The following is a 27,186-nucleotide window of genomic DNA, read 5'->3' on the forward strand; positions in this document are numbered from 1 at the left end:
AAAGGCACCTGCCCTCCTCTCCAGCCAGGGACCTCTCCACCAGGCCCCAATCAACTGGGCTGCTGTTGAGTCCAATGGCATCGCTCTCCAGCCCAGCCTGCGAGTGAAAGCACATGCGGGTCTGTCTCCCTTCTCTGCTCCATCAGCACCACCTGAGCTCCAGGTCCTGAACCCTCCCCTCTGCCCTTGCCCTGCCCTGGTCCAGAACCTCTCCCGTCTCCCCTGAACTATTTCAACAGCTTCCCGCTGGGCTTCCTGCCACCTGTCACCACCCTCCGTCCACCCTCCCCACCCAGCCGCCAGCATCACTGACCTAAAAACTGAACCTGGTCATTTCACTCTCTGGCTCCAAATCCTTCTGTGGCCCCAGTGTCGTGGTCTGAGCTACATGGCATGGCAAAGAGCCCTCTACTGCCCAGCCATGCCTCCCCGCTCACTCATCTCTCCCTGCTCTTGCTCCCAACACGTACCTCTGAGCCTTAGCACATGCCATTCCCTCTGATCAATCCGCCCCCTCTCCTTTCCCGGTGACTTCCAGTACATCCTTGAAGATTCTTCCAAGTATCGCCTTCCCAGAAGGCCTCCCCCCGACTCCTGGGTAGTCAGGTCCCTCCTCAGTGCACCACATGCTTTGCACAAATAGTCCAGGGCTTGGAACTCTCTGCGCGTACACTTCCCCTTGCCCATCAGGGTCTGGGAAGACCCTCATCCCCGTATCCCCAGGACCCACACCAGGATCTGGCCCAGCATCAGCTCCAGCCTGCAGGGGCTGAGTTAGGGACCAGATAAAAGCCAGCACCAGAGGGGCCTGGTGCCCAGCCCCGCTCACCCACCCCTTGTGCAGGGTCCCAGCCCATGTGCCAGCCTGGGTGGAGCCGGGGTGCCAGTGAGAACCCAGTAAGACAAGCAAGAAGATGCTTGTCTGAGGACCGAGCCAAGGATGACTTCACCGCCAAGTCAGCCTCCCAAACATGCAGGGCGGGGGGTGGGGGCCGCCCTCCTAGGAGGGGCGGTACCTGGGACAGTTTTAACAGGCAAGGAGCGTGCTTGGGGGCCAAAAAGCGAGGCGGGTGAGTCAGGGCAGGGGAGATGCCTTGCCCTTAAAAGGAGAACAGCCTCCTTCTCACCTGTCCCTCCTGAGCACATCACACTCATAAAGAGAAAAAAGGAAAAGAAAAGCAATCAGAGGGAACGGGCCCAAATCCCACAGCTGGCACTTTTTCTCGGAGGTGATTAGTGCTCATTCGGAAAGAATGGATGACACCATCCCTGGCGTGAGCCAAAACACAAGGGCCTCAGGTGTCCCCCAGGGGGAGGACCCAGGACCCAGCCCACTCCTCCCGTCCCTATCCCCACCAGTCATGCCCCAAACACGTCTGCCCCGGAGGGGCCTGTGTGAGGTTCCACACCTCCCAGGAGGATCTGGATCCAGGCGCTGCCTCTTCCCGAGCCCACAGAGCTCCAGGTTCTGCGGGGACTTCCGGAGGTCACAGCAGAACCACGAGGTGGGTCCTAGGGACAAGATGCCACAGGCAAAGAGACAGAGGCCCGAGGAAGAGAGGGGTGCTCAGCCTACACCATTAGTGAGTGACAGCGCCAGGAGACAAGGGACTCACAATGCAGCCCCCTTGGTGTCATCCTCCTGGAGAAAGGGACGCCATCAGTTGTCACTCCCGGCAGTGACTGCCCCCACCGGAGCCCCATCGCAGGACCCAAGTGAGGGTGTCGAGAGCAGAGTTGCCAGCCCTCAGGTGACAGCTGGGTTATGACCTGGGTCGCCAGGGTTGGTACCCTCCCAAAGTCACACTGGGGACCCCCAGTCCACGGAGGCAGGGCAGAGACCTGTGAGCCATCAGGTCCAGAGGGTCCACCCTGCCTCCTGCCAGGGAGTTCCGTGGGGACAGGAGGTTCCTGCAGGGCAGGGTCACTTGCCCCAGGAGGGAGCCGGGCACAGAACTAGTGTCTGTCCATGTCCACCAAGCTGAACTGAACTGAAGGAGGCTGCTCAGTGGGGCCACAGTTAGAGGCTGAATCGTGTTCCCTGCCCTCCCCCCAAAACAAAAAAAAATTGATGTTCTAACCCCAGAACCTCAGAATGTGGGCTTATCTGGAAACAGTCTTCATAGAGGGCACCAGGTTAAAATGAGGTTATGGTAGTGGCCCCTAATCCAGTATGACCAGTGTCATTTTAAAAGGGGAATCTTGGGCACAGAGACAGACATGCTCAGAGCAAAGAGGACGTGATGAAGGCAAAGATGGGGTTATGCTTCGACAACCCTGGGAACGTCAAAGAGTGGGGACAGGGGCCTGTGCTGGGGCCTCCCTCTGAGCCCTCCGCAGGAGCCAAGCCTGCTCTTGGTCTCAGATCTCTGGCCTCCAGAAGAGTGAAACAATTTCCTGTTCATTTCAGCCACCCAGTATATGGTACTGTGTTACGGCAGCCCTAGCAGACTCCCAGCTGGCTTCCTGGATGTGTGACACCTGCAGTTACACAGGGCTCAGAAGGACCCACCCTTGGTTTAATGCTCTGCATTCCCTGTCCTGAATTTCTTAACTTTTGAATGAGGGATGCACGTTTTCATGTTGCATAGAGCCCCACTAAGGGTGTAGCTGGTCCTGTTTTCAGACCTCCCTGGCAAGCCCCTGTCAGGGGCCCAGATACCTCCCCAGAGCCAGGGCGCAGCTCAGCACTAGGTTTTGAATTCGGTGAGACCCAGCCCCAGCAAGGTCAGAATCCCAGGGGATGGCTCCAACTTGGCCTCCTGCCACCTCAGTTCCCCAAAGACCTGCTCAAGGATGGGAGGTCCCCATCATGGCCCTTAAATCAGGAGGAGTCCCTAGACATGGCCACACACCCCATGCCCTCCCTAAAGCCCCTCAATCTTTTCTTGACTTTGTGCTAACTCAGGTCACAGCAGCCAGCATGTCTAGACTCCTGCCTGGCGCTCGGCATCACAGCCTCGCGATTCTGCACAGGACACTCAGCCTTCTGGGAACTAGCTGTAGGGGATAAGAAGCAGCTCCTATTTATTTATTCTTTAAAAACCAAACAGACCCTCCCAGCAGGCAGGTCACCTCATTGGGCGGGAGTTGTGTTGGCAGCTCTGGAGAGAGCCAAAGCACTGTGTCCCTGACACCCAGGGTGACAGGAGCTGGGTCCACTCCCTTCACCCGGTGGTCAGAGAGAGCCTGAGCAGGGAGGAGGAGGGGCTGGCAAGGGGAAGAAGGGCCTGATTCTCTGGGCGGCCGGCTCCTGCCAAAAGCAATATCGCGTATCATCATATTAACTCCCTACAACAAAGCCAGGGAGAGAGAGAGAGATAAAATAAAGCCAGGATAATTGAGGCCCACAGATCATTCCAAATCCGACTTTAGCGCTGAGTTTCACGGTGCAGCAACCTTTTACTCATTCATGTCGGCTAGCGAGAGCTCCTCTTCTCATCTTGCCCCCACCCAGTGAGCTAGTACAGTGGCCAAGGGAGGACGCAAGGGGCCGAATGGAGGGAGGAGAGGGAGAGGATGATCCTGGTGGTGATGGTAACTCACAAAAAAAACCAGCCCACCTGCCCTGAGTAGGGTGGAGTTGGCTGTACCTCTCTCAGCCAATTACAGTGTCCCCTGGCCCAGCCTATCTGTTCCCTCCCTTCACCCAGCCAACTCCTCCTGGCACCCTTGAAGACTCCACCATGCCTTGCCTCCTCTGGGATGCCCGTCCTGATATCAACATCACCCACCCCAGCCTGTCTCTTGCTCCGTTCCTTTACGATGTGTTCATGAAGCCTGTAATCCCAGCACTTTGGGAGGCCAAGGTGGGAGGATCGCTTGAGCCTGGGAGCTTAAGACCAGCCTGGGCAACATAGCGAGACTCAAGTCTCTACTAAAAAAAAAAAAAAAAATTTTATATTAGCCAGTCACGGTGGTGCTCACCTATAGTCCCAGCTACTTAGGAGGCTGAGGCAGGAAGATTGCCTGACCCTAGGAGGTCGAGGCTGCAGTGAGCCGCCATTATCACATCACTGTACTCCGGCCTGGGTGACAGACTGAGACCCTGTCTTTAAAAAAAGAAAAAAAGTGTTAAACATTTTACCTGGATGATCAGCCCCGCCGTCTTGTTGGAGCCTTTGATTGAACGACTTGCCTCTCTGCCTTATATGGAACCTAGTGCTGAGGAGGAGGACGTATGTGCTGGACACTTTTGGGAGGGGAAGTCTCTAAGGAGGCAAGAGAGGAGACTCAAAAACCACTCAGGATGGCCTGGCAAGAGATGGCGTGCTTACACTAGGGGGTCACTGCAGGTCTGGTGAGCGTGGTCAGATGTTAGGTATATGGATGAACAAAGAAATGGATGGATTGCCAAAATAGAGAAAGATCTTGGGGCCCAGTGGAGACACAAGCTTAAACCCATTTTGGTGGTGGTGCTGGTGAGAGAATGGCAAGGGCAGAGGGCAGGCAGGTAACTTTTGCTTCTTCCAACCCAGGATCTCAGCAACCTGGAATGGATGTGGCTCCCTCGGAAGCAAAGTCAGATAGTGGCATTTATTGGGTAACCTCTGTGGCTCTTTTGAGCCTATTCTTGGCATGGACCCCATGCCAGGAGGGGAAGGAACAGATACTCCCCAAGTTACCTCCAGCCCTCCATTCAAAGAGCTCAGTCCGACCAGGAAACAAGGCAGCCATGGGCAGCTTGCTGGCAGTGCCTGAATTAGTTCCCGTGAATCTCAAGCAATCAAACAAAACCAAGGGCACAGGCAGAGGCCTGTGGGGACCGCCAGGGGGGACTTTGCACGGGAGCATCAAAGTATTGGGGTTTGCTTCATTATCAAGGTCATGCTTGGGAATTTTGCAAACAACAAGGAGGTAGTAACTTACCACCTCCCACCATGCTTCCCAAGACAATGGCTGTTTTATTCAGGTGCTTTCCTTCTGGATCGTTCTAGGTATGGTTTTCTGTACAGGGGAATGGAGAGGCAAGGGGCCCCCACTGAAGGAGGCTGCCCCACCACCCTATTCTTGGGCCCCACACAATTCAATCTTAGAGGGGCACAGCATCTCTGATGGCAGAGTTGTGACCCTTGCCGCGTGGGTCTCAGGACTCCACCTGCTCTCTGGGTACATTTTTACAAGGCTGATGCAACAGTCCACACCTGCACAGGTGTGTGCAATCCTCATGGGGCTCTCTGGCTCTCCAAGGAGGGGGTCAAGAGGGCTTCGAGGTTGTCCAGGGCAAATGAGCAAACAGTGCTGCCTCCGTGAGGGTTTGCATGCAACTCCCGCCCCCCACATCCCTATTCATTTATTCATTTACTTAGATGTCCATCAGCACACCTTCTGGGGATCCAGGGAAAAGTACAACAGAGTCCCTGCCCATTAGGAGTCCTTGTTTTAGAGGAGACAAACAACCAAAGAAACAATTACAGCTGGGCTTGCGAAAGGCACCATGGAGCTGCTGACTCCCACAGTAGCCCAGGGGGGTTCCCAGGGAACAGACACCCAGCCTCCCTGTCCCCCGCCCAGACACTGAGGGTGGGGACCCTGGAAGGCATGAGACCAAGGGCTCCCTAAGGACACGCAGCAATTGTCTCTTCAGACTGCCCTGGAAATAATGGGGACAGGAATTCTGCAAAAGCCTCCCCAAGGCTGGGAAGATCGGCTTTGCAAGTGGGTTCCTTGAGAGCTGGGACCATGTCTCCTTCTCATTAGACAAATCGCTGAACAAAACTGACGGGTGCAAAAACACTTTGCAAACTGGAAAGCTTTGGATGAAGTTGGGAGCTTGGAAGCAGAGATGGTCGTCACTAGACTGGGAGCCTCCTGAAGGCAAGGGCTGTGCCTCCTCCGTCTGACTGGAGGCCCCTGTTTTAATTCTGTAGTCCCAGAAGCTTCTGCATCTGGGGCATGCTTAGTGAACCCTCTTCCTCCAGTTACATGGATGCTCCAGAATTAAGGCTGAGCTGATGCACCTGAACCCCTTCTGTCTCTTACAAAGAAAATCCTAGCTGTACTCTGACATCTGAGATCATAATTTTAAACCATTTATTAAACCCCTTACTATATATATCACATAGTGTATAAGGGTAACTTTGACCTAAATTTATACTAGTTTGTAAATGACTATACAAGAAGATCTTTAACTTTTTTTTAACTGACAAATAAAAATTGTGTATATTTATGGTGTAGTTTTGATACAAGTGTATATTATGAAATGGCTAAATCTAGCTAACTACTATATGCATTACCCTACATATTTATTTTTTGTATATGATGAGAACATTTAAAATCTGCTCTCTTAGCAATTTTCAAGGACACGATACATTGTTGTTTACTATAGTCACCACGTCGTACTATAACAAAATCTTATCATCTTGGAGTTAGAAGGAAGCCGGGTGCTCTGGTTCTCAAACTTGTCTGCACAGGGATCACTTGGAGAGCTTTCAAAAGCACCAGGCTGCACTTCAGACCAATTAGATCGGAATCCATGAGAGTGGGATCTACATATCTGTACTCTTTAAATTCCCCGGATCACAGTGGCTCACGTCTGTAATCCCAACACTTCGGGAGGCCGAGAGCGGGAGGCTTCAGTTCAGGAGTTCAAGACCAGCCTGGGCAATATGGCAAAACCCCATCTCTACAAAAAAATACAAAAATTAGCTGGGCATGGTGGTGTGTGCCTGTAATCCCAGCTACTCAGGAGACTGAGTTGGGAGAATTGTTCAAGCCCAGGAGGTTGAGGCTGCAATGAGCCAAGATTGCACCTCTGCACTCCAGCCTGGGCAACAGAGCAAGACTCTGTCTCTAAATAAGTAAATAAATCCCCCCGGGGTGACTCTGGCATGTAATCAAGCTTCAGCAGTGTTCTAGAACGACTTCCTACCCAATACAGGAATCACAATCATTGATTCATTCAATAAGTATATATAAAGCACCTACTCAGTGCCTGAAACCAGGGCTGTCTCAGAATCTGTTTGTTGGTTTTCTAGCCTTTTCTTGGATACTTGAAGTGATGGCGAACTCACTGCCACATGAGGCAGAACTCTGCCCAAGATCTGGTTTGCAGTGGTGTGTAGAGAGGAGAGATGGGTTGAGAACGGGCAGCTGAGATGCATTGGGTCCTACTATGTGCCAGCAATGGTGTGGGAAATTTCACAGGAACTGCTTCTCTGAAACTTTACACACTTCTATCCAGTGAGATAGGAGATACAATCACAGTATTGCAGATGAGGAAACTGAGGCTCAGAGAGGATAAGGGGCCCATCCAAGACCACTCAGTTTGTGTGTGGCAGAGCAAGGTCCACATCCCAGGGTGTCACTTTTGTGGGGAGTTGGGGCTGGTTGGGGGAGAGGGAACACAGGTCAGGCAGGGGATCCCATCCGGGGATCATGCCCAGATGTCCAGAAAGAGTGCACTGCATTAGGCTGAAGTGCGGTGATGCAGTCAAAGCTCACTGCAGCCTTGACCTTCTGGACTCAAGTGATCCTCCCACCTCAGCCTCCTGAGTAGCTGAGAGCACAGGCATGCACTACTACACCTGGCTATTTTTTTAATATAGTTTTGTAGGGACAGGGTCTCACTATGTTACTCAGGCTGGTCTCGAACTCCTGGCCTCAAACAATCCTCCTGCCTCAGCCTCCCAAAGTGCCCTGTTAGGAAGTTAATATGGAGGTTGACTTACTAACCTCCACATTCTGGACACATGCTTCCCCCTCTTGGCCCTGAGCTGGGAGAGATTCTAACAAACTTAATTTCCCCAGAGAATTGGGGACCTGAGTCACCCCTCCAGAAAGTGGCACTTACATATAAAAGGACCAAGCTGAGCAGAGTAATGCTCAGCCTGAGGACTGACTGATGGTGACAGTGAGGTCCTGTGGGCAGGGAAGACCCATCCTGGGCATTCTCAAATCCTAGCCCAGAGGTAACGCCCTGGATGGGTCACCTATGTGGCAGTAACAGCAGCTGCCATTTTTTGCACACCTACTGTGTGCCAGGCGCTTTCCCTCCATGACCCCAGCCCTCACAGCAACCCTGCAAAGCCAGATTATGATGCTATTTTTCCAGACAGAAACAAAACAGAGACAAATCTGTCTTCTGATCCTGGGTTCCTCTCCACCAAGACCAGCGTTTTTCAAGCTGCAGGTTGTGACCCATGAGCGGGATGTGGAGTCAATGTAGGGGGCCCTGAGCAATGTTTTTTAATGAAATCAAATGGGGTAGGAAAGAGAGGAGAAAATAATGCATAAAAGAGAAGACTTGTTTCACGAAACTTTTGTTTCAGTTGTATGTGTGTGTGCATGTGTGTGTGTGTGTGTGTGTGCACGCGTGTGGTGTGCGGGGTCCCAATGTAGAATATATATTTATTTTATTTATTTATTTTTTTGAGACAGAGTCTCACTCTTGTTGCTCAGGCTGGAGTGCAGTGGCACAATCTTGGCTCACTGCAACATCCACCTCCTGGGTTCAAGTGATTCTCCTGCCTCAGCCTCCCGAGTAGCTGGGATTACAGGTGCACGGCACCACACCCAGCTAATTTTTGTATTTTTAGTAGAGGCAGGGTTTTGCCATGTTGGCCAGGCTGGTCTGAAACTCCTGACCTCAGGTGATCCGCCCGCCTCAGCCTCCCAAATTGCTGGGATTACAGGCGTGAGCCACTGCACCCGGCCGGTATATTTCTTACTGAGAGATGTGAGCCAAATGTTCAGAAGCCAACACCCTACGCTGTTGTCTATATGATGCTAATGTGAAGTGGCTCCCTTTCTTCCTGGGAAGGGATGGGGTGACAGTGTGCTTTGAGCACTCAGAAGGGAGGGCTCAGGAGGCCACAGGGTGAGATCACCCCTATTTAACAACTCCTCTGGGATGCGTAGAGTGAGAGAGGGCTCTAGCACCCAGCACTAGAGCTAAGAGCTCCTCCTACCCAGCAGGTTCAGGGTGGTCTTTATGTAACCTCCATGTCCAGCTGGTTCTTGAGGAGATTTAGGAACCAGCCAAAGGCGTAGGCAGTCTCCAGGCAGCATGAGGGATATGGAGTAGGACTCTGGAGGCCCGGTTCACCCAACAAAAACCCTGGAACCAAAGCAAACCACACCTATGAGCCCCATTTTCCTCATCTGTGAAATGGAACAATGGCCTAGCTCAGCGCTCCCCAGTAGAAATATAATGTGAACCATAAATATTCTAGCAGCCACATAAACTTGTAAAATTAAACAGGTGTCGTTAATTTAAATACTGTGTTATTTAACCCATCCATCCAAAATATTATCAATTCAACATGTAGTCAATACAAAAATCTATGAATGAGACTTTACATTGTTTTTTGCGTATGAAGTCCAGCGTGTATTTCATACCCGTAGCACATCTCAACTTGAGCTACTTACAGACCCAGGGCTCAATAGCATCTGTGGTTAGTGGCTACCAGATTGGGCAGTGCTGATGTAGATAATGTCTAGGGTCTCCTCTAAAATGCTGTGGCTGGATTCCAAAGGCCAGGCTCGATTGCCCACACATTTGTTTCCTGCTAAACCCTGAGACCCTGGCTGGTCCCAGCTGTAGAAAACCATTCAGGTGACACGTTTGGGGAGTTACTTCAAGTGACAATAAAATGGATCCTTGATTCTGAATTGCTCAGACCTGGCTTACTGAGCTGTGTGCTCTAGGGAAGTCATCTTCTCAAGCCTCAGTTGTTCTATCTGTAAATTGGGAATAATAATAGCTAGCATTACAAAGCACCTACTATGTGCCGGGCATTGTTCTACCACTTTTATGCGTATTAGTTCCTCATTCAGCATCTATCATTCCTCCTAATTTGTAGGAAGGAGCATGGAGGCACAGAGAGGTTAAATAACTTGCCCAAGGTCACGCAGCAATTATGTGGTAGAGCTGGGATCCGAACCCAACTGCCTGGCTCCAGAGTCCCTGTGCTGAACCCCAGGTCCACACTGCCAGCCTGGGGTGGCCCTAATGACTGAGTTTAAGGCTGCCCTGAAAGTGCATGGCACGGCGTCGGGCAGGCAGGCAGGGAAGAAATTGTTGTTGCTGCTGCCCTCAAATGGGGCAAGAAAGGACGTGGGAAGAGCCCCCTGGGTGACTTCCAAACACCTGGGACACAGCACAGTTATAGCGGGGAGGGGACAGCCCCTGCTGAGCCTTCCTTGTCCCGCCCCCAGTCGGAAGCCGAGAGGGGAATTTGGCTGAGAAGGCATCTTCCTCATAGCTTAGATGCAGAGGGCTCTGGAGGCGGGTGATTCAGGGTCTGAAGTGCCTGGGGCTCCTGGCTCTGGGGCAGTGGGGTAGGCTGACAGGGGTGGCCCTGGCGAGAAAGGTGGGTGGGCCAGGAGCCAGATGGGGGTGCCTCATCTAGGTCCCACCGCCAGCATCTTAGAGGGCGGAGGATGAAAGCAACCTGGGGGAGGGGCTCACCTGGGGGCCATCGCAGTAGCCAGGTCTTGGCAGGAGGAGGAGCTCGGCCACCACTAACTCAAAATCAGACTCAAACTGGCCTCAACAATAAAGAGGGTTCTTTAGCTGAAAAGTCCAGAAGTGATTCTGCCTTTAGGTGAGACTGGACACAGCTGGTCTAAATATCACCAAGGGCCAGGTGTGATGGCTCACACCTGTAATCCCAGCTACTCAGGAGGCTGAGACTGGGTGGGAGGGGGTGGAGGGGGGATCGCTGGAGCCCAGGAGTTCAACACCAGCCTAGGCAACAGAGCAAGATCCGTCTTGACAAAAAATTTAAAAATTAGCCAGGCACTGCGGCTCATGCCTGTAGTCCCGGCTACTCAGGAAGCTGAGATGGGAGGATCACTGGAGCCCAGGAGTTCAAGGTTACAGTGAGCCGTGATCACACCACTGCACTCCAGCCCGGGTGACAAAGCAAGACCCTTTCTGAAAAAAATAAATAAATAAAATTTAAAAATAAAATAAAAATCACCCCAATCCACCCTTTTCCCCCATTTTTCCCCGGCCTGCTGCAGAGTTGGCTCCACTTCCGGCTGCAGAGTTCTGACCCCAGGCAGCTCCCAGGGCTATGAGCCTCCCTGTCCCCTCCAGCAGGAGAGAGAAGCTCTCACCTTAGCATCGCCAGCCCAAGGCCTGAGACTCACTCCGACCAGGGCTGGCTTTGGTCACACGTCCAACCCTGTGGCCAGAGGCATGGCATACACTGACTGGCTGTTTGGATCACACGCTGTACCTGGTTCCCCACCGCCTTCTTGGGAAGGGGAGATGGGAAAGGGCAGATAGGGGCTCTGGGCAGGCAGTGAGCAGATGTCTGCCCATCGGCCTCCGGTTCCATGTCTGTCTGGCTGTGTGACCTGGGCAGTCTCCTCTCAGGCCTCGGTGGACTAGAGAAAATGCTTCTGACCTTCATTTTCGGTAAAGAACCCTGATGGTAAAGCTCCAATGAGTAGGGAGGGATAGCATTTGGAGATATATTATAGCAGGGAGGGGACAGCCCTTGCGGAGCCTTCCTTGTCCCACCCCCAGCCGGAAGCCGAGAGGGGAATTTGGCTGAGAAGGCATCTTCCTCATAGCTCAGATGCAGAGGGCTCTGGAGGCGGGTGGTTCAGGGTCTGAAGTACCTGGGGCTCCTGGCTCTGGGGCAGTGGGGTAGGCTGACAGGAGTGGCCTCAGTGAGAAAGGTGGGTGGGCCAGGAGCCAGCAGGAGCTTCTCTCTCCTGCTGGAGGGGACAGGGAGGCTCATGACGAGTTACTGGGTGCAGCACACCAATATGGCACATGTATACATATGTAACTAACCTGCAAGTTGTGCACGTGTACCCTAAAACTTAAAGTATAATTTAAAAAAAAAAGAAATCAAATCCAAGTGGAGACGCCGTGGTTGACGTGGGGGTGAGGGTCCTGATCCCTGCTCCCTGCAGGGGACCCCAAGGGCCTCTGCTGCTCCCTCTGTCCCCAGAAGACATGGGTCACCAGAGTCAACATGGAGTCCAGCACAGTTGCCAGCACCCGATCTCGGCTGGTTAAACCAACCAGGCAACATCCAAGGAAATGCGACCTCAAGGTGGCAGCCCGACGGGCTTGTCATCAAGGAGAGAAGGGGATCCATAAACTCCACTCCCACCATCACCGCCACCCCTCAGCACCCTCAGCCTCCTCAGAAAGCCCCCGCCCCCGACCACAACCTCACAGCTGAAGTGGTGTGGGTGAGGGTGGTGAGGAAGTGGTGCCAGTCGGGGCAGCACAGTCGAAGCCATCACCGCTGTGGGTGATCGGGCCAGAAACCAGGCTGGGGAAGACAGGGTGATAGCCATGAACAGAGCTGCCTTTGACTCCAGAGGACAATGCCCCCCCAGTGTCCCCTGAGGCTGGCCCTTGCTGTTGAGTCACTGTCTGCTCCCTCAGAGCGGTTTGGGCCAATGCTGAGTTATTTCAAAATAATAATAGACTAGCGATGCAGTCATAGAATAGAGAATAGAGAGGCGTGCAGGGTTGCGGCTCTGTTATATGAACTGACACTTACTGAGCCCCTGCTCGGTGTAAAGGCCGTACATGTACTGACTCATCTCACCCTCACGACAGTGACGTGAGGTGGGACGTGAGTTATGCCTGACCTGCATGAGGCTCAGAGAGGCAACAGCACCTGCCCGAGCCACTCAGCTAGAAGTGGTAGGTGGACCCGGGTCTGTGCAACTCAAAGCCTGCAGTTGACACACTGCAGCCATTAATTTTGCAGAAGACGACACTATTTGGTCACCATCATCAAATCTTCCAAGGGTGGAATGGAAGAGAATTCCATGAGAATTCAGAGGACAGAACAATGTCTAACACGGGGGTGTGTCTGGGCAGCAGATTTCAACTCGACCCAGGAAAGAACTTCGTGGCACTCCGAGGGCCAGGGCAGCCTGGTGGTGTGGAATGAGCCATCTATTACTGGAAGTGCCCAGGCAGGGGCTGAAGGTCATTTGGAACAATGTGGCGGGAATTTCCACACTGCTGAGGGTTGGACAAACAGCCTAAGAGCTTCCGTTTGGCTCTGAGGTGCTGGGATTTCAAGTTGATTTATGTAATGGGCCCCCTGCCTGCAATCTCAGCCCCTCCAATCCACTCTCCATGCTGCAGACTGTAAGCTTTCCAAAACACCCCTCCAGCGTGCTGTCCCTGCAGAAGTCCTCGGGCGGCTCACCACCTGTTCCAGTTACCACTGCTGGCTAACAACCCCTTCCAAAACTTAGTGACTTAAAACAACCACCTGACGCTCAGTCTGTGGGTCGGGAATTCAGATGACTCTGCTCCATGATGTCCTGGGAAGATTAGATGGGTAGGAGCTGGGGTTAACTGGAAGAGTCCTCTTCCCATCTGGCTGTCGATGATGGCATAGTCGGGACCACAGCAGGGCTGTTGGTTGGACACCTAGATACAGTCTCACCTGTGGCCTCTCTGCATGGATGGATTAGTTTGGGATTCCTCACTGCATGGTGGCCGGGTCCAAAGAGTGACTATCCCAAGACAGCAAGACAGAAAGGTATTTGTGTGACCTAAGCTTGGAGGTCACAGAGCATCACACAAAAAGCGCCACCGTACACACAAAGTATCCATTATACACAAAGCTCCACCCAGGCTCAAGGGAAGGGGACAGACCCCAGTGCTGGATGGGCGGAGTGTCAAGGCCATTTTGCAAGAAGAGCAAGTGGAACAGTAGCCAGGGTTGCAGCCACATTTGGGAAATATAATCTACCTACCACATGTCACTCTTCAAAAGGGGTCCAAGCCATCACTCGACACAGCTGATGAGGCCCTGTTCACATCTCCAGCCTCCCTGGGTTTTGCACATGCTGTTCCTTCTGACCAGAAAACTTGTGCACACATCCCACCTCCACCCGCTTCACCTGGCCCACCTCTACTCACCCTTCAGGGCTCAACAGAGATATCGCCTCCTCGCCCAGGAAGCCTGCCCTGACCCTGCCCACATCCAGCTGAGTGGGAGTCTCTCCAATCCATGACCACATTTGTCTCTTGGGATACGGTGGCTTCTCTACTGATTGGTCTCCAACAGACTGCAAGCCCCAAGGGCGTGGATAGGGTCTACCCCATCTACTGTGATATCCCTGGCACCTGGCCAAATGCCAGTCCCTTTCTGGGTCCTGCTGGCAGCCTCCTCCCACAAGAAGTCTTCCTGGATTGCACCTGAAAGCATTAGGTGTCTCTCCTGTGCTCCCACGGTGCCCCCACTCTACCCCAAGCAGGTGTTTGGGAATGCCTGGGGGAAGGGAAAAGCTCTTTTCCTCGTTCCCAAGCCAGAGCTTGTTACTGCAATGAAAGAAGCAACAAATTACCAGCCAGGCTTGGGGGCTAATGATGGAAACCAAGGCATTGTTCTGGGTGCTGCTAATTGCATGCCTCCGCAGTGAGGCCCACTCAGCCTGCAGCATGTCACCGCTAACTTCTGCCCATAGCGCCAGGCCCAGCCTGGAAGGGGGCCAGACACAGAGTTTACTGGGGCAGGAGGGGTGTCCCTGGAGCAGTGGGTCCCAAAAGCGTGACTGCAGCTGCCTCTCCTGGAGGCCTATTACAAATACAGATTCCCAGGCCCTGCCCCAGAACCACTAAGTCTATATCTGAGGGGCTGAGTCTCCAGGGATAGGCATTCTTGACAAGCCCCCAAGGGGATTGTGAAGCCCAGCCTAGGCCTAGGGTTTCTGATCCCATCCCCACCCCAAAGCCAGACAGAGACCTTCCACACCTAGCCCAGCTCACCCCGACAATGTGGCAAGATTCAGAAAATGAACCTGTTTAGGGGAGAAGGGTGGAGATGACAGAAGCCTCACCCAGGAACAGAGGTCAGGTCTTCTCATGAGCTGAGAGACCCAGGTCAAGTTAGTGCACCTTTCTAAACATAGGTGGGTTTCCCAGGAAGCTGAGAGACCTCAAACTTCACAGTCTCTGCAAGGCCCTGGGAGGAGCCCTAGCAATGGGCTCACTTGCTTGGAGATTTGTGTACAATTTGTGAAAGTAAGATATCTTAGCCTAGGCACATGGCAGCTCACGCCTGTAGTCCCAGCACTTTGGGAGGCTGAGTCAAGGAGTTTGAGACCAACATGGCGAAATCCCACCTCTACTAAAAATACAAAAATTAGCTGAGTGTGGTGACACATGCCTGTAATCCCAGCTACTCAGGAGGCTGAGGCAGGAGGATTGCTTGAGGCCAGGAGGTAGAGGTTGCAGTAAGCCGAGATTGTGCCACTGCACTGCAGCCTGTGTGACAGAGCGAGACCTTATCTCAAAAACAAAAGGAAAGAAAAAGGAAGGAAGGAAGGAAGGAAGGAAGGAAGGAAGGAAGGAAGGAAGGAAGGAAGCTAGGAAGGAAGGAAGGAAAGAAGGAAGGGGAAAAGAAAGAAAATGAAAGTAAGATTATCTTTTTATTCTTTTTCTTAAAGAGCACCCCACCACCACCAAATTGTATAAGCCTCAAACTCCCTTAAAAAATGAGGAGAGGCCGGGCGCAGTGGCTCACAGCTATAATTCCAGCACTTTGAGCGGCCGAGGCAGGAGGATCATGAGGTCGGGAGTTCAAGACCAGCCTGGCCAACATGGTGAAACCCCATCTCTACTAATAACACAAAAATTAGCTGGGCTTGGTGGCATGTGCCTGTAATCCCAGCTACTTGGGAGGCTGAGGCAGGAGAATCGTTTGAACCTGGGAGGCAGAGGTTGCAGTGAGCTGAGATCGTGCCACGGCACTCCAGCCTGGGTAGCAAGAGCGAAACTCTGTCTCGAAGAAAAAAAGAAAAAAAAAAATGAGAATAGGCCAGGTGCAGTGGCTCACATCTGTAATCCCAGTGCTTCAGGAGACCGAGACCGGAGGATTGCTTGAACCGGAAGGCGGAGGTTGCAGTGAATCATGATTGTACCACTGTACTCCAGCCTGGGCAACAGAGCAAAACCCTGTCTCTAAAAAAAAACTTTTTTTTTAAGAAGAATTTTAAGGACCTCGAGTGGTTATTGTGAGAATAACCGAGCGAAATGTAAACAAAGCTGGCAGCACAGTGCCTAAAACCCCACCACGGAGAAAGCGCCCTGGGCAAGGGGCTTGATCCCCCTGCACCGCTGTTTTCTCATCCGTAAAATGCAGGTGCAACCATAGCTACCTCCTCACGTGGTTTGAGCATGAAATGAGCTAATACAGGTGACGCACCCAGCTCAGGGCTTGGCACAGGGCAAATGCCCTCCAAGTACTGACTACTGCAACTGTCACTGGCAGGGGAACATGGCTCCCATCAATGAATAATTGTGGACAAGTGCAAGAGCCAGCGCATGAGTGACAGAACGCACGGCTTCTTGAGGCAGCCCAGCCTTCGAAGATTGCGTGGCAATGGGACACATGCTTTTGAAACTGTGTTTCCTGGAAATACTGGAAAGAGATAAGACCCTCTTTCACCAAGCCGATTTAAGAACAGCCCTGCCAAGAAGCAGGGGAATGGATCCAATGAACCAGATTTGTTGCAAATCTGGGACAGAAGTAACAAGAATGGACTTGACCTTGGGCAGTGATTTCTGAGAAGGAGCCTGTTCTGAGGAAGGGGGTGGATGCCCAGATTAGAGGATGCTGGAAGGTTCGAGCAGGATGAGAGCTGGGATGGGAACAGCGCGACATCCAGTCCAAACTTCACTTCCTGTGCTGCAAGCAATTATGAATTAAAACAAAGCTGGAGGTGAGACCCTGGAAGGTGATGGGTGACCAGAGTCACCAATGCACATGACACTTCTATGGAGGACCTCCTGGAGGAGGTTACTTCAGAGCAGGGAGAGAAGTTACAGGTCAGCAGAAAGAAACAGCAAGTCCAGCAGACGCAGGAAGCTCTGCAGTCATGCACTTAATTATGGACATTAGATGAGCACATACTACGTCGGAACTAGCCTAAGCGCTGCCCTCAGACACTCTCATTTTTGGAATTCTTTGGTTGTTATTTGTTTTTGTGCTAATAATTTCTCCTTTTTTGAGGCAGTATCTCACTCTGTTGCCCAGGCTAGAGTGCAGTGGTGTGATCTTGGCTCACTGCAGCCTCCACCTCCCGAGCTCAAGCAATCCTCCCACCTCAGCCTCCCAAATAACTAGGACTATGGGCACACACCACCACACCCAGCTAGTTTTTGTCTTTTTATTTTTTGTAGAGACAAGTCTCACTATGCTTCCCAGGCTGGTTTTGAACTCCTGGACTCAGGTGATCCTCCCACCTCAGCCTCCTAAAATGCTGGGATTACAGGTGTGTGCCACTGTGCCCAGGGCCTATACTAATAGTTTTTTAAGCTTAGAAACAGTGGCAAACTTATAGAAAATTTGCATGTATAATACTAAGAATTGTTTTTGGTTTGTTTGTTTGTTTTTGAGATGGAGTCTCACACTGTTGCCCAGGCTGGAGTGCAATGGTGCAATCTCAGCTCACTGCAACCTCCGCCTCCCGGATTCAAGCAAATCTCCTGCCTCAGCCTCCCGAGTAGCTGGGATTACAGGCGCCTGCCACCACACCCAGCTAATTTTTTGTATTTTTAGTAGAGACGGGGTTTCACTATGTTGGCCAGGCTGGTCTCGATCTCCTGACCTTGTGATCTGCCTGCCTCGGCCTCCCAAAGTGCTGGGATCACAGACATAAGCCACCGCGACCGGCCAGAATTGTTTCTCTGCAACCATTGAACTGTAAATTGCCGACCTATTTTCTACCAACAAAAGCCTTTCCCTACACAACCGCAGTAAAACCATCAAATCAGGGAGCTAGCACTGATCCATTCCTACCTTCCACTCCACAGACCTGGCGCCAGTTTTGCCAACTATCTCAACAATGCCTCGGTAGCAAAAGGACCCGGTTCAGTCTCCTGCGTTGCATGAAATTGTCAGGTCTCCTTCGGTCTGGAACAGTTACTCAGTACTTCCTTCACGGCCTTGACATTTTGAAGATTACAGATCACTTACTTCATCAAATTGGGGTTTGGCTGGTGTTTCCTCGTGGTTAGATTCAGGTCATGCGTTTGTGGCAGGACTATCCTAAGTGGCAGTTATGGGGCGCTTTGGATCAGTTTCAATAAAGGTGATGTTAAATTTGATCACTTAAGGTGGTGTCTGCCAAGTTTCTCCACTGCAAAGTTATTCCTTCTCTCTTTGTAATTAATAAGTATTTTGTGAGAAGATACTCTGAGACTATGTCAATATCCCTTTTCTCATCAACTTCCAGTTTATTCACTTATTTATTTGTCGCAATACGGACCTGTGTTTTCTTAGGGAATTCAACAGGTTATCATCCATGACTATCACTGGTTTTTTTGTTTTGCTTTTTGTTTTTTTGAGACGGAGTCTCGTTCTGTCCCCAGGCTGGAGTGCAGTGGCGTGATCTTGGCTCACTGCAACTTCCACCTCCCGGGTTCAAGTGGTTCTCCTGCCTCAACCTCCCGAGTAGCTAGGACTACAGGCACACACCACCACACCCAGCTAATTTTTTTTTTTTTCGCATTTTTAGTAGAGATGGGGTTTCATCATGTTGGCCAGGATGGTCTCGATCTCTTGACCTTGTGATCTGCCCGCCTCAGCCTCCCAAACTGTTGGGATTACAGGCGTGAGCCACTGTGCCCGGCCCATTGTTTATTTTAATGCTCAGATCGACCCAGATTTGGCCAGTGGTTGCCCTTTCAAGTAGCTCCAGGGGCATTTTGACTTATCTCCATCATTCTTTGACCATGTCCTGAATTTCTGGCACAAAAAGATATTCCAGGCTCATTCTGCCCCTTCCCTGCCCCAGCCCTAGAATCAGCCATGGCTCCAAGGAAGCCTGATTCTTTAGTGGGGAACGGTATACAGAGGCCAACATCTGGGTGCCAGGTGTGCTCACTGCTACTGGGGAGTTGCTGCTTCCAGTCCCTCTCAGTAGACAAGGCCATGGGGACCCCTAACCCCCACATCATTCAAGGGTCAACTGTACATATAGACTGTACATATGTCCACACACACTCACATATGTGTATATGTATAGTAAATATCTAATATACACATTTGCATGTGTATATGTTTGTATTTATTGCTCTCTTATATTGAAAACCCTGGCCAGGTGCGGTGGCTCATGCCTGTAATCCCAGCACTTTGGGTGGCCAAGGTGAGCGGATCACAAGGTCAGGAGCTCAAGACCAACCCGACCAACATGGTGAAACCCCGTCTCTACTAAAAATACAAAAATTAGCCAGGCGTGGTGGCGTGCGCCTGTAGTCCCAGCTACTCAGGAGGCTGAGGTAGGAGAATCGCTGGAACCCAGGAGGCAGAGGTTGCAGAGAGCCGAGATTGCGCCATTGCACTCCAGCCTGGGTGACAGAGTGAGATTCCATCTCAAAAAAAAAAAAAAAGAAAGAAAGAAAAAGAAAACCCTGAGTTCACACTGATATTTCAAATTCCAGTCCAACAGCACGGGGCTCCTTTGCGTTTTCTCCCTCTCCATATGTGTAACTCCGGCTCTGATGTGACATTCCAGCAGCTCTGATGTGACATTCCAGCAGCTCCAATGTGACATTCCAGCGGCTCTGATGTGACATTCCAGCGGCTCTGATGTGACATTCCAGCGGCTCTGATGTGACATTCCAGCTTCCTTTATGCTTCACGTATTTAATTTACCAATTCCCTCAATAGCCCCTTCTCCATACACACACACACGTGCAGGGACACCCTCAACTCGGGCTTGGCCCTCCACGCCAGACCTCCTCCCCACCGGGTCACCTTCCATTCGTTGCCAGAGCTCAGGCATCCTCTGTGGGCCACTCCCCCACCTATGTGGACACCTTTCTAACCCCTCCATGGGTGACCTTCTCCCCAGCTCAGGCCCTGACCCCCCGACCAGCCACTGTCCCCACTCAGACATGATCCTCGCCAGAGCTACCAAATGGCAAAGCTAAGATGCAAACCCAGGTGTGTCTGCTCCACACCCTGAGCTTTTTTTTTTTTTTTTTTTTATGGAGTCTCACTCTGTTGCCCATGCTGGAGTGCAGTGGTGTAATCTCAGCTCACTGCAACCTCCGCAATTTAAGCGATTCTCCTGCCTCAGCCTCCTGAGTAGCTGGGATTATAGGCACACATCATCATGCCCAGCTAATTTTTTGTATTTTTAGTAGAGATGGGTTTCGCTGTGTTGGCCAGGCTGGTCTCGAACTCCTGACCTCAAATGGTCCACCCGCCTCAGCCTCCCAAAGTGCTGAGATTACGGGTATGAGCCACTGAGCCCGGCTGCCCTAAGCTCTTGATCGCCATGTTCTCTAAAACTGAGAATGAGCCCATTTTGTCTGCCAAGTGATTTTTTCCCAGCAGGAACATCAAGGGAATCAAGGGAGTTCTCAGCCTCAGCCTGGACTGATTCCCCTTGAGGGTGAAGGAAGGCACCCCCGCCTCTAGATCTTCCTTCCGCAGGGCTGCAGACCAGCCCCCAGCCCTCCTGCCGGCTCCTGGCCTCAGCAGGGCCCTCGTGCCTCCCTGATGGGGAACTCAGGAATTGGGAGGGATCCACCCGCCTATGGCAGGTGATAAAAACAGCTTGTCATGTTCACAGCGCTCTACAGTTTGCAAAGCCCTTGGTAGAGGTGCTGGGTCCTCACAACAGTCCTCCCAGGGCCAGATGAGTAAACACACTTTACAGTCAGTGAAACAGAGGCTCACAGTGGGGAAGAGACTTCATCCAAGTCCATATCATACAGCCCCTGGAGTCAGAGCTGAAAGCTCATCCAAGACAGACCGAGCCAGGCTCCACCCTTCACACACCCCTTCTGCCACCCCGCACCCTCTGCTTCCCTCTTTGGGGGATGGCTTAGCTCTGAAAGGCTCCTATCTCCCCTGAACCTCTCCTAAGGACGCTCAGGTGTGTGGCTCTGGACCATGTGGGACCAGGTGGTTCCTTCCCTGCCCTTCAGCACTCACAGTCTGAAGCAGACATCCTGCGGGGGGCAGTTTGGTGCCCACACCCTCTCCTCCTAGAAGCCCGGCCACCCTCCCCTTTAACTGGGACCAGCAAACTAGGGGGTGAGTCTGCGTTGTGGGGGGTTAACTCATTTGTTTCACTGTCCCAGTGTCCCATTAGCACCCAGGTCAGACATCCTCTCTCAAACAGGTGGGCTCAGCCCATCCGAGTCTCACGAGAGACACCCAGCCCCAGCATAGGACAAGACCCCCAAGGTCAGCAGGAACTGGTGCCAGGGCCCGCCCGAGGGTAAGGGCGGCTCCCCAAGCCCAGCATTTGCAGCTCTTCTCAGGACTCATGGCAGGCGGGGCTGGCCGGGAAGGAAGGCAGGCACCCTCATTAGCCCCACACGTGTACCACGTGGACCGGGCCCCTGAGCCACACAGCACTGCCTCGTGGGAGCCCCAGGGAAGCTGGGCTCTGCAGCTGGAGCAACTCCACTGGTCCAGGGGAGAGGCACCTGCAGTGAGTCAGCCGAGCTGAGCTCAGCACAGAACTCCTTACCCGGCCCCGCCAGGGACGCCACTCCCCACAGTGGGAACAGCCTTTGTGCCCCCCAGATTCCACAGAAGGGGAACTGAGTCTTGGCTCTGCCAGGTATGTGGTGCCTCCCAAGGCAGCAGACCAGTGCCCATGAGGAGGGACTGCTGGGTGTTTCTGAAGCCTCTGCCCACCCCAGAAAACTATAGGGTCCCCCACCCTCCCCAGTGCATTCTTGAGGTTCGCAGCCCCTCTCCCCCAGGACAGAGGACAAGTCATGGGCAGCTGAGAGGCGACTGGGGACAGGACCTTGGCTTTGAGAGCCCTCTGTGGCCATGGTAAAGGCGGGGCAATGCACAAAGCGCCTTCTGCTGGAGGGTGGGCACACGTGAGCCAAGGGGCAGAGAACCACCTGGAAGGGTGAGGGGCTTGTGGAGAGGTCCCTGGGGGCGCTGGCCAGCTCAACACCTGCTCACCATGCTCCCCTCGTTACTCCCCATGTTGGGGCCTCAGCTTCCCCACCTGCAAAAGGCGTCTGTTGTTTCGGATCAGTGGTTTCTATGTTGTTCTCCAGGGAGCCTGGGAATTCTGCAAAAGCACCTCTGTGGCCCCTCTTGGGGGAGCGAGTGAGACAATGTCCCCAGGGCTGGACCTTGAGCAGCTCCGGGGGTGAGGCTTGGGAGGGGCTTCCGTTTAAGGAAATAACAGGATGTGAAAATTGAGAGGAGCCCAGGAGCCCCTCAGCGCTGCCGTTCCCTCCTCCCTTCCACTAACCTCTTTCAACAACCAGACGGCGCAGACCTGCTGTCCACAGGGTACTAGTCGGGCACTGGGGCATCTTCAGACATGACAGTCATGTGGTCCCCGCCCAGGATCATTGGGAAGGTATTGTGAACAGGTAGGGATAAGCCCAGGACCAGGAGATGGGGCTGGGGACAGAAATGAGTTGATACCTGCCTCGGTTTCCCTAAAGTGCATGTCCTCAAAAGGTCAAAGATATAACGAACCGTGAGGCTGCCGAGAGAAAAATCCTCAAGGTTATATCTACTTCAATACCAGGGCTACAAGGAAAACAGTTTTTTGTTCTATCCTTGGGGATCTCAGGTCACCAGGATCTGATACTTAAAGGATAATTACTCCTCAAAAAGCCACAATTAGAACTACCATAAGATCCAGCAATCCCACTGCTGGGTATATATCCAAAGGATATGAAATCGATGTATCAAAGAGACAGCTGCACCCCATGTTCATGAGCACTGTTCACAACAGCTGAGAGACGGCATCAATCTGTGTCCGCAGATGAAAGAATGGATAAAGAAAATGTGGGCCACATTCACAACAGGAGACTATTCAGCCTCAAAAAAAGAAGGAAATCCTGTCATTAGCCACAGCGTGGCTGAACCTGAAGGACATTATGTTAAGCAAAATAAGCCAGACACAGAGAGACAAATACCACATGATCTCACTTATATGTAGAATCTACAAAAGTCGCACTCACAGAAGCAGTGAGCAGAACGGTAGTCGTCATGGGCTGGGGGTGGAGGGCTGGGGAGATGTTGGTCAAAGGACACAAAATTTCAGTTAGACAGGAGGAACCAGGTCAAAAGATCTCACGTATCACATGGTGACTCTGGTGAATAGCAATGTATTGTCTTCTTGAAAATTACTAAAAGACACTCGGGAGGCTGAGGCAGGAGGATTGCTTGCACCCAGGAGTTTGAGACCAGCCTGGGCAACAAAGTGAGAGCTCATCTCTACAAAAACATCAAAAAAGTTAGCCGTGTATGGTGGCACGTGCCTGCGGTCCCAGCTACTCAGGAGGCTGAGGCAGGAGGATCACTTGAGTCTATAGTGAGCTGTGATGGTGCCACTGCCCTCCAGCCTGGGCAACAGAGCAAGACCCTCTCCCCCGCCATCCAAACAAAAAAAAAAAAAGAAAAGAAAGAACATTTCTAAGAGATTAGATTTTAAGTGTTTTCAACCAGAAAAAAAAAAATAAGCCTGTGAGATAATGCATAATTAGCTTGATTGAACCATTCCACAATGTAATCAAAATATCATGCTGCGCACCATCAATATGTACGATTTTTAATGGTAAATTAAAAAGAGAGAAAGAGGCTGGGCTTGGTGGTGCATGCGTACACTCTGGAAGGCTGAGGCAGGAAGATTACTTGAACCCAGGAGTTCGAGACCCGCCTAGGCAACATAGTAACCCCATCTCCACAAAAAATTTAAAAATTAGCCAGGTGTGGTGGCGCATGCCTGTAGTCTCAGCTACTTGGGAGGCTGGGACGGGAGGATCTCTTGAGCCCAGGAGGTTGAGGCTGCAGTGAGCCTTGATCATGCCACTGCACTCCAGCCTACGGGCAACAGAGCAAAACCCTGTCTCAAAAAGAGAGAGAGGCCGGGCGCAGTGGCTCATGCCTGTAATCCCAGCACTTTGGGAGGCCAAGGCGGGTGGATCACCGGAGGTCAGGAGTTCGAGACCAGCCTGGCCAACATGAGGAAACCCCATCTCTACTAAAAATACAAAAATTAGCTGGGCATGGTGGTACGTGCCTGTAATCCCAGCTACTAGGGGGGCTGAGGCAGGAGAATCGCTTGAACCCGGGAGGCAGAGGTTGCAGTGAGCCAAGATTGAGCCACTGCACTCCAGCCTGGGTGAGAGAGCGAGACTCTGTCTCCAAAAAAAAAAAAAGAGAGAGAGAGAAAGAGATCGTTATACTCAAACTGGAGAGGGTTGTGACCAAGCGATGACCAGGGGGAGGCCAGCTGTCAAGCTGTCAACACGTGAGCAAGTAGATAAGCACGGTCCTTTCGGAGACTGATGAGTGCTACAGAGACAATGAAACAAGACCCTAGGATAGAGAGGGAAGGGGCGATATTGGACGGATGCCTGGGAAAGGCCCCTTGGGCGACATGTCACCTCGCCCAGCAGACATGAACAGAGACCTGGGTGACTTGAAGGAGTCTATGACCATGCGAGGCAGAGGGACAGCCTGAGCAGAGGCCCTGGGGTGGTGCAGGCTTGGCTGTTGGAGGAACAGAAAGGCCAGGGTAGGTGGCGCTGCTTCCTCACAGGCCAGTGATCTCACTGCCTTTTGGGGGCACCAGCCCAGCCCTCTGACCCCACCCTGCCACTTAGGAACACCAACACAGTGAATTCTCTGCTTCCCCTGTCTCCTGAAACTCAGCCGTCTTTGACTCTGAACTTCGGATCCAGGGTCACAAGATGAGGATTCCTGCCTCATGGAGACCAGGCCATGGGAAGGACCATGGCCCACCCCAGGGCAGGCTGGGAAAATCCCCAAGAGACAGGGACCTCAGGCTGCGGGGCTGCCTCCCTGTGCCCCCACCCCCGCCTGCCTGGGCTCAGGTGTCCAGACATGTGCCAGTCTCTACCTGGGGTGGGGTGCCCTGGCAAACAGAGCTTACCCAAGAGGAGATGATGCCATGGCCTCCTGGCCCAGAGACCAGCTCTGCCGAGGTGATGGGGCAGCGTGTCACAGCCGCGGGGCAGGGGGCCAGGCCGCCCCTGCTCAGAGAAAGGCAGGAGCTTTGTCAGGGGCTCACGGCTATCCCACCCTCCCCAGGCCTGTCTGGAGACCTGAGGGAAGGGGGAGGGGGAAGAGAAAGAGGCTGGAAAGGGGGAGGGGGAGGGGGAGGGGAGGGGCAGGAGCACCTCTTTAAGCAGGTTTTATGACGGTTGGCAGCTCCACCCGGTTGGCAGGGGTTTTGGATTGAGATGTCTTGGTGGAGACAGTCGGGCGGGCGGAGGGTACCCACCCCGGAGGTGGCAGAGCAGGCAGCTCAGCCCGGCAGGCTTCACACCTGCCCACTGCCTTGGGAAGAGGTAGCTGGGTGTGTCTGGCAGCCCCTTGATGAACACCAAGGTGTCAGGTACCTGCCCCTGCCTTTGGGCCACACTTCCCTCCACAGGGGCAAATCCAACAGCCCCTCTCACGCTTGTGACACCCCAGTGACTCCATGCTGCTCGACCTCACACCTTTCCCTGGCCATCCTGCCTGGAACGTCCTTCCCGAGCCTAACACCCACCTCTGCCTGTCTAAGCCCTGTCCACCTCCTGCTAGGTGTTTGGGACTCAGCCCCAGAAGCCTCCCTGGTCCCTCCCTCTCTCCTGCATTGGCTCCGTCCTGTCCCCTCCGTCCTCCAGCACAAGCGACAGCTCTTGTCTGCTCCTCGCTGGGCTGACTGTGCTGTGTCCTCCAGGGCAGACCCCAAGGGGGACATGTCTAATTCATGTCCACATCCCCGTGCCTGGCACAGAGAAGCTGCTCAGGAGACATCAGATGAACGAAGAAATGAGGGATCCAAGAAGCCACCAGTCAACCTGATGCCCACCCCTCAACCAAGTGATCAAACTTGGCATCACCCAGCGTGGGCAGCCTGGCGGGACATGTGCCAAACAAACCACACAGCATCGTCCAGGCTGGCCAACATTTTAACACGACCCCAGCCAAGCAGTAGGACCTGACTTCCAGTTTACAGAAAACCCCCAGGTAGAGGAACCGGCTCATTGCTATGGGGAAAAGCCGGGGGGAATAGCAGGGGGAGCTCTTTTCGAATAAAAGAGAATGAAAAGACAACTAAATGCCGTGTGTGAAGGAAAAAGGACATCAGTGTTTCTCTGGAAACCACTCATTGTGCCCTGCCCTGCAAGGTCCCTTTATGACCCCAACCCTGTTTGCTCATCTATAAAATGGGGGAATAGGCTGCGCCATGAAGCCACAGAAGAGCAGGCAGAACACGTGGGAAGCTAGAGGGCTCTGGAAAGAGGGAGCTGGAGCCCAGGGTTCAAGGGGGGGGTGGGAGGAGGAAGGGGGTGGGGCTTCATGGTGGGAGGAGGAAGTGTGGAGGGGAGTGTGGTTGAGCCAGGCTGGAGGACGGGGACAGGGCTCTGGGATGAGTCTGAGCCAGGCCTTGAAGGAGAGGCGAGTGTAGGTGGCAGGTTAATGCAGGGTTTCCACTTCCACCCCTGGGGGCTGACAAGGAAAGACTCTGACATTGACCAGAGTCACGGCAGCAGCTCCCAAACCCACTCCGAAGCTGGCTACTGGGGGGTCATGGCTGGACACCCAGGAGAACCATGGGAGCCAGGGCTGCACCCCAAAGCAGGACCCCTGCACCTCCCATCTCACAGCAGCTTGCAACTCCCAAGGAGGAGCTTTGCTGGGCTGCGGGGCACTCACCTCACCTGCCACAGCGCACCTCAGTGACCTGTGTGTATATATTGAGCAGATCGCTATGGTTTGGGGTTTGGGAAAGTTTTAACATCAGGGTCCCATCTCCTCCATCACATTGGGGGCTCCTCTATCAGGCTGGGGGCACCGAGGATGGGCTCCTGCTTTCTCATTCCTCACAAGATCCAGGCGAGCTTATTCAGGGGAGAGTGACATCTGACTAATGTGGTCACATTTCTGTGTCACTGACATTTGTCAAAGCCTTTGGCTGCACGGGTGGCCTTCAACACTAAGCCCAGAACTCACCCAGGCTCCAGACAAACTCAGCTGGCTCAGGACTGGGACAACCATGCCCCCACCCCCACTCCACCACAGATCCCAGGACCACCATGCCCCCACCCCAACTCCACCATAGTCCCTAGACCACCATGTCCCCAACCCCCACTCCACCACGGATCCCAGGACCACCATATCCCCCACCCCCATTCCACCACAGATCCCTGGATCACCATATTCCCCACCCCCACTCCACCACAGATCCCTGGACCACCATTCCCCCACCTCCCTCTCCACC

The 27,186-nt window shown here is 52.9% G+C and overlaps 1 long non-coding RNA gene across 1 annotated transcript in view, besides 2 other annotated features; it reads right to left on the reverse strand.

Annotated features, from left to right (window-relative positions):
- The window catches only part of LOC105376815 (uncharacterized), an 83,235-nt gene extending 64,940 nt beyond the window's left edge, over positions 1-18,295 (reverse strand). Inside the window, exon 1 of the long non-coding RNA XR_947015.2 lies at positions 17,745-18,295. This is a non-coding gene — a long non-coding RNA (uncharacterized LOC105376815). The remainder of the gene's footprint in view (positions 1-17,744) is intronic.
- Positions 2,680-3,251: an enhancer, noted in NCBI's record as "H3K4me1 hESC enhancer chr1:19362307-19362878 (GRCh37/hg19 assembly coordinates)". NCBI's record gives its function as "activates a minimal SCP1, AML or CMV promoter by ChIP-STARR-seq in naive H9 embryonic stem cells {active_cell/tissue: H9 hESC(naive)}" and the evidence as "EXISTENCE:reporter gene assay evidence [ECO:0000049][PMID:30033119]".
- Positions 10,485-11,459: an enhancer, noted in NCBI's record as "H3K4me1 hESC enhancer chr1:19370112-19371086 (GRCh37/hg19 assembly coordinates)". NCBI's record gives its function as "activates a minimal SCP1, AML or CMV promoter by ChIP-STARR-seq in naive H9 embryonic stem cells {active_cell/tissue: H9 hESC(naive)}" and the evidence as "EXISTENCE:reporter gene assay evidence [ECO:0000049][PMID:30033119]".
- Positions 18,296-27,186: the final 8,891 nt, after the last annotated feature.

The sequence above is a fragment of the Homo sapiens genome, chromosome 1 (genome assembly GCF_000001405.40).
Source record: "Homo sapiens chromosome 1, GRCh38.p14 Primary Assembly".
Classification (NCBI taxonomy): domain Eukaryota; kingdom Metazoa; phylum Chordata; class Mammalia; order Primates; family Hominidae; genus Homo; species Homo sapiens.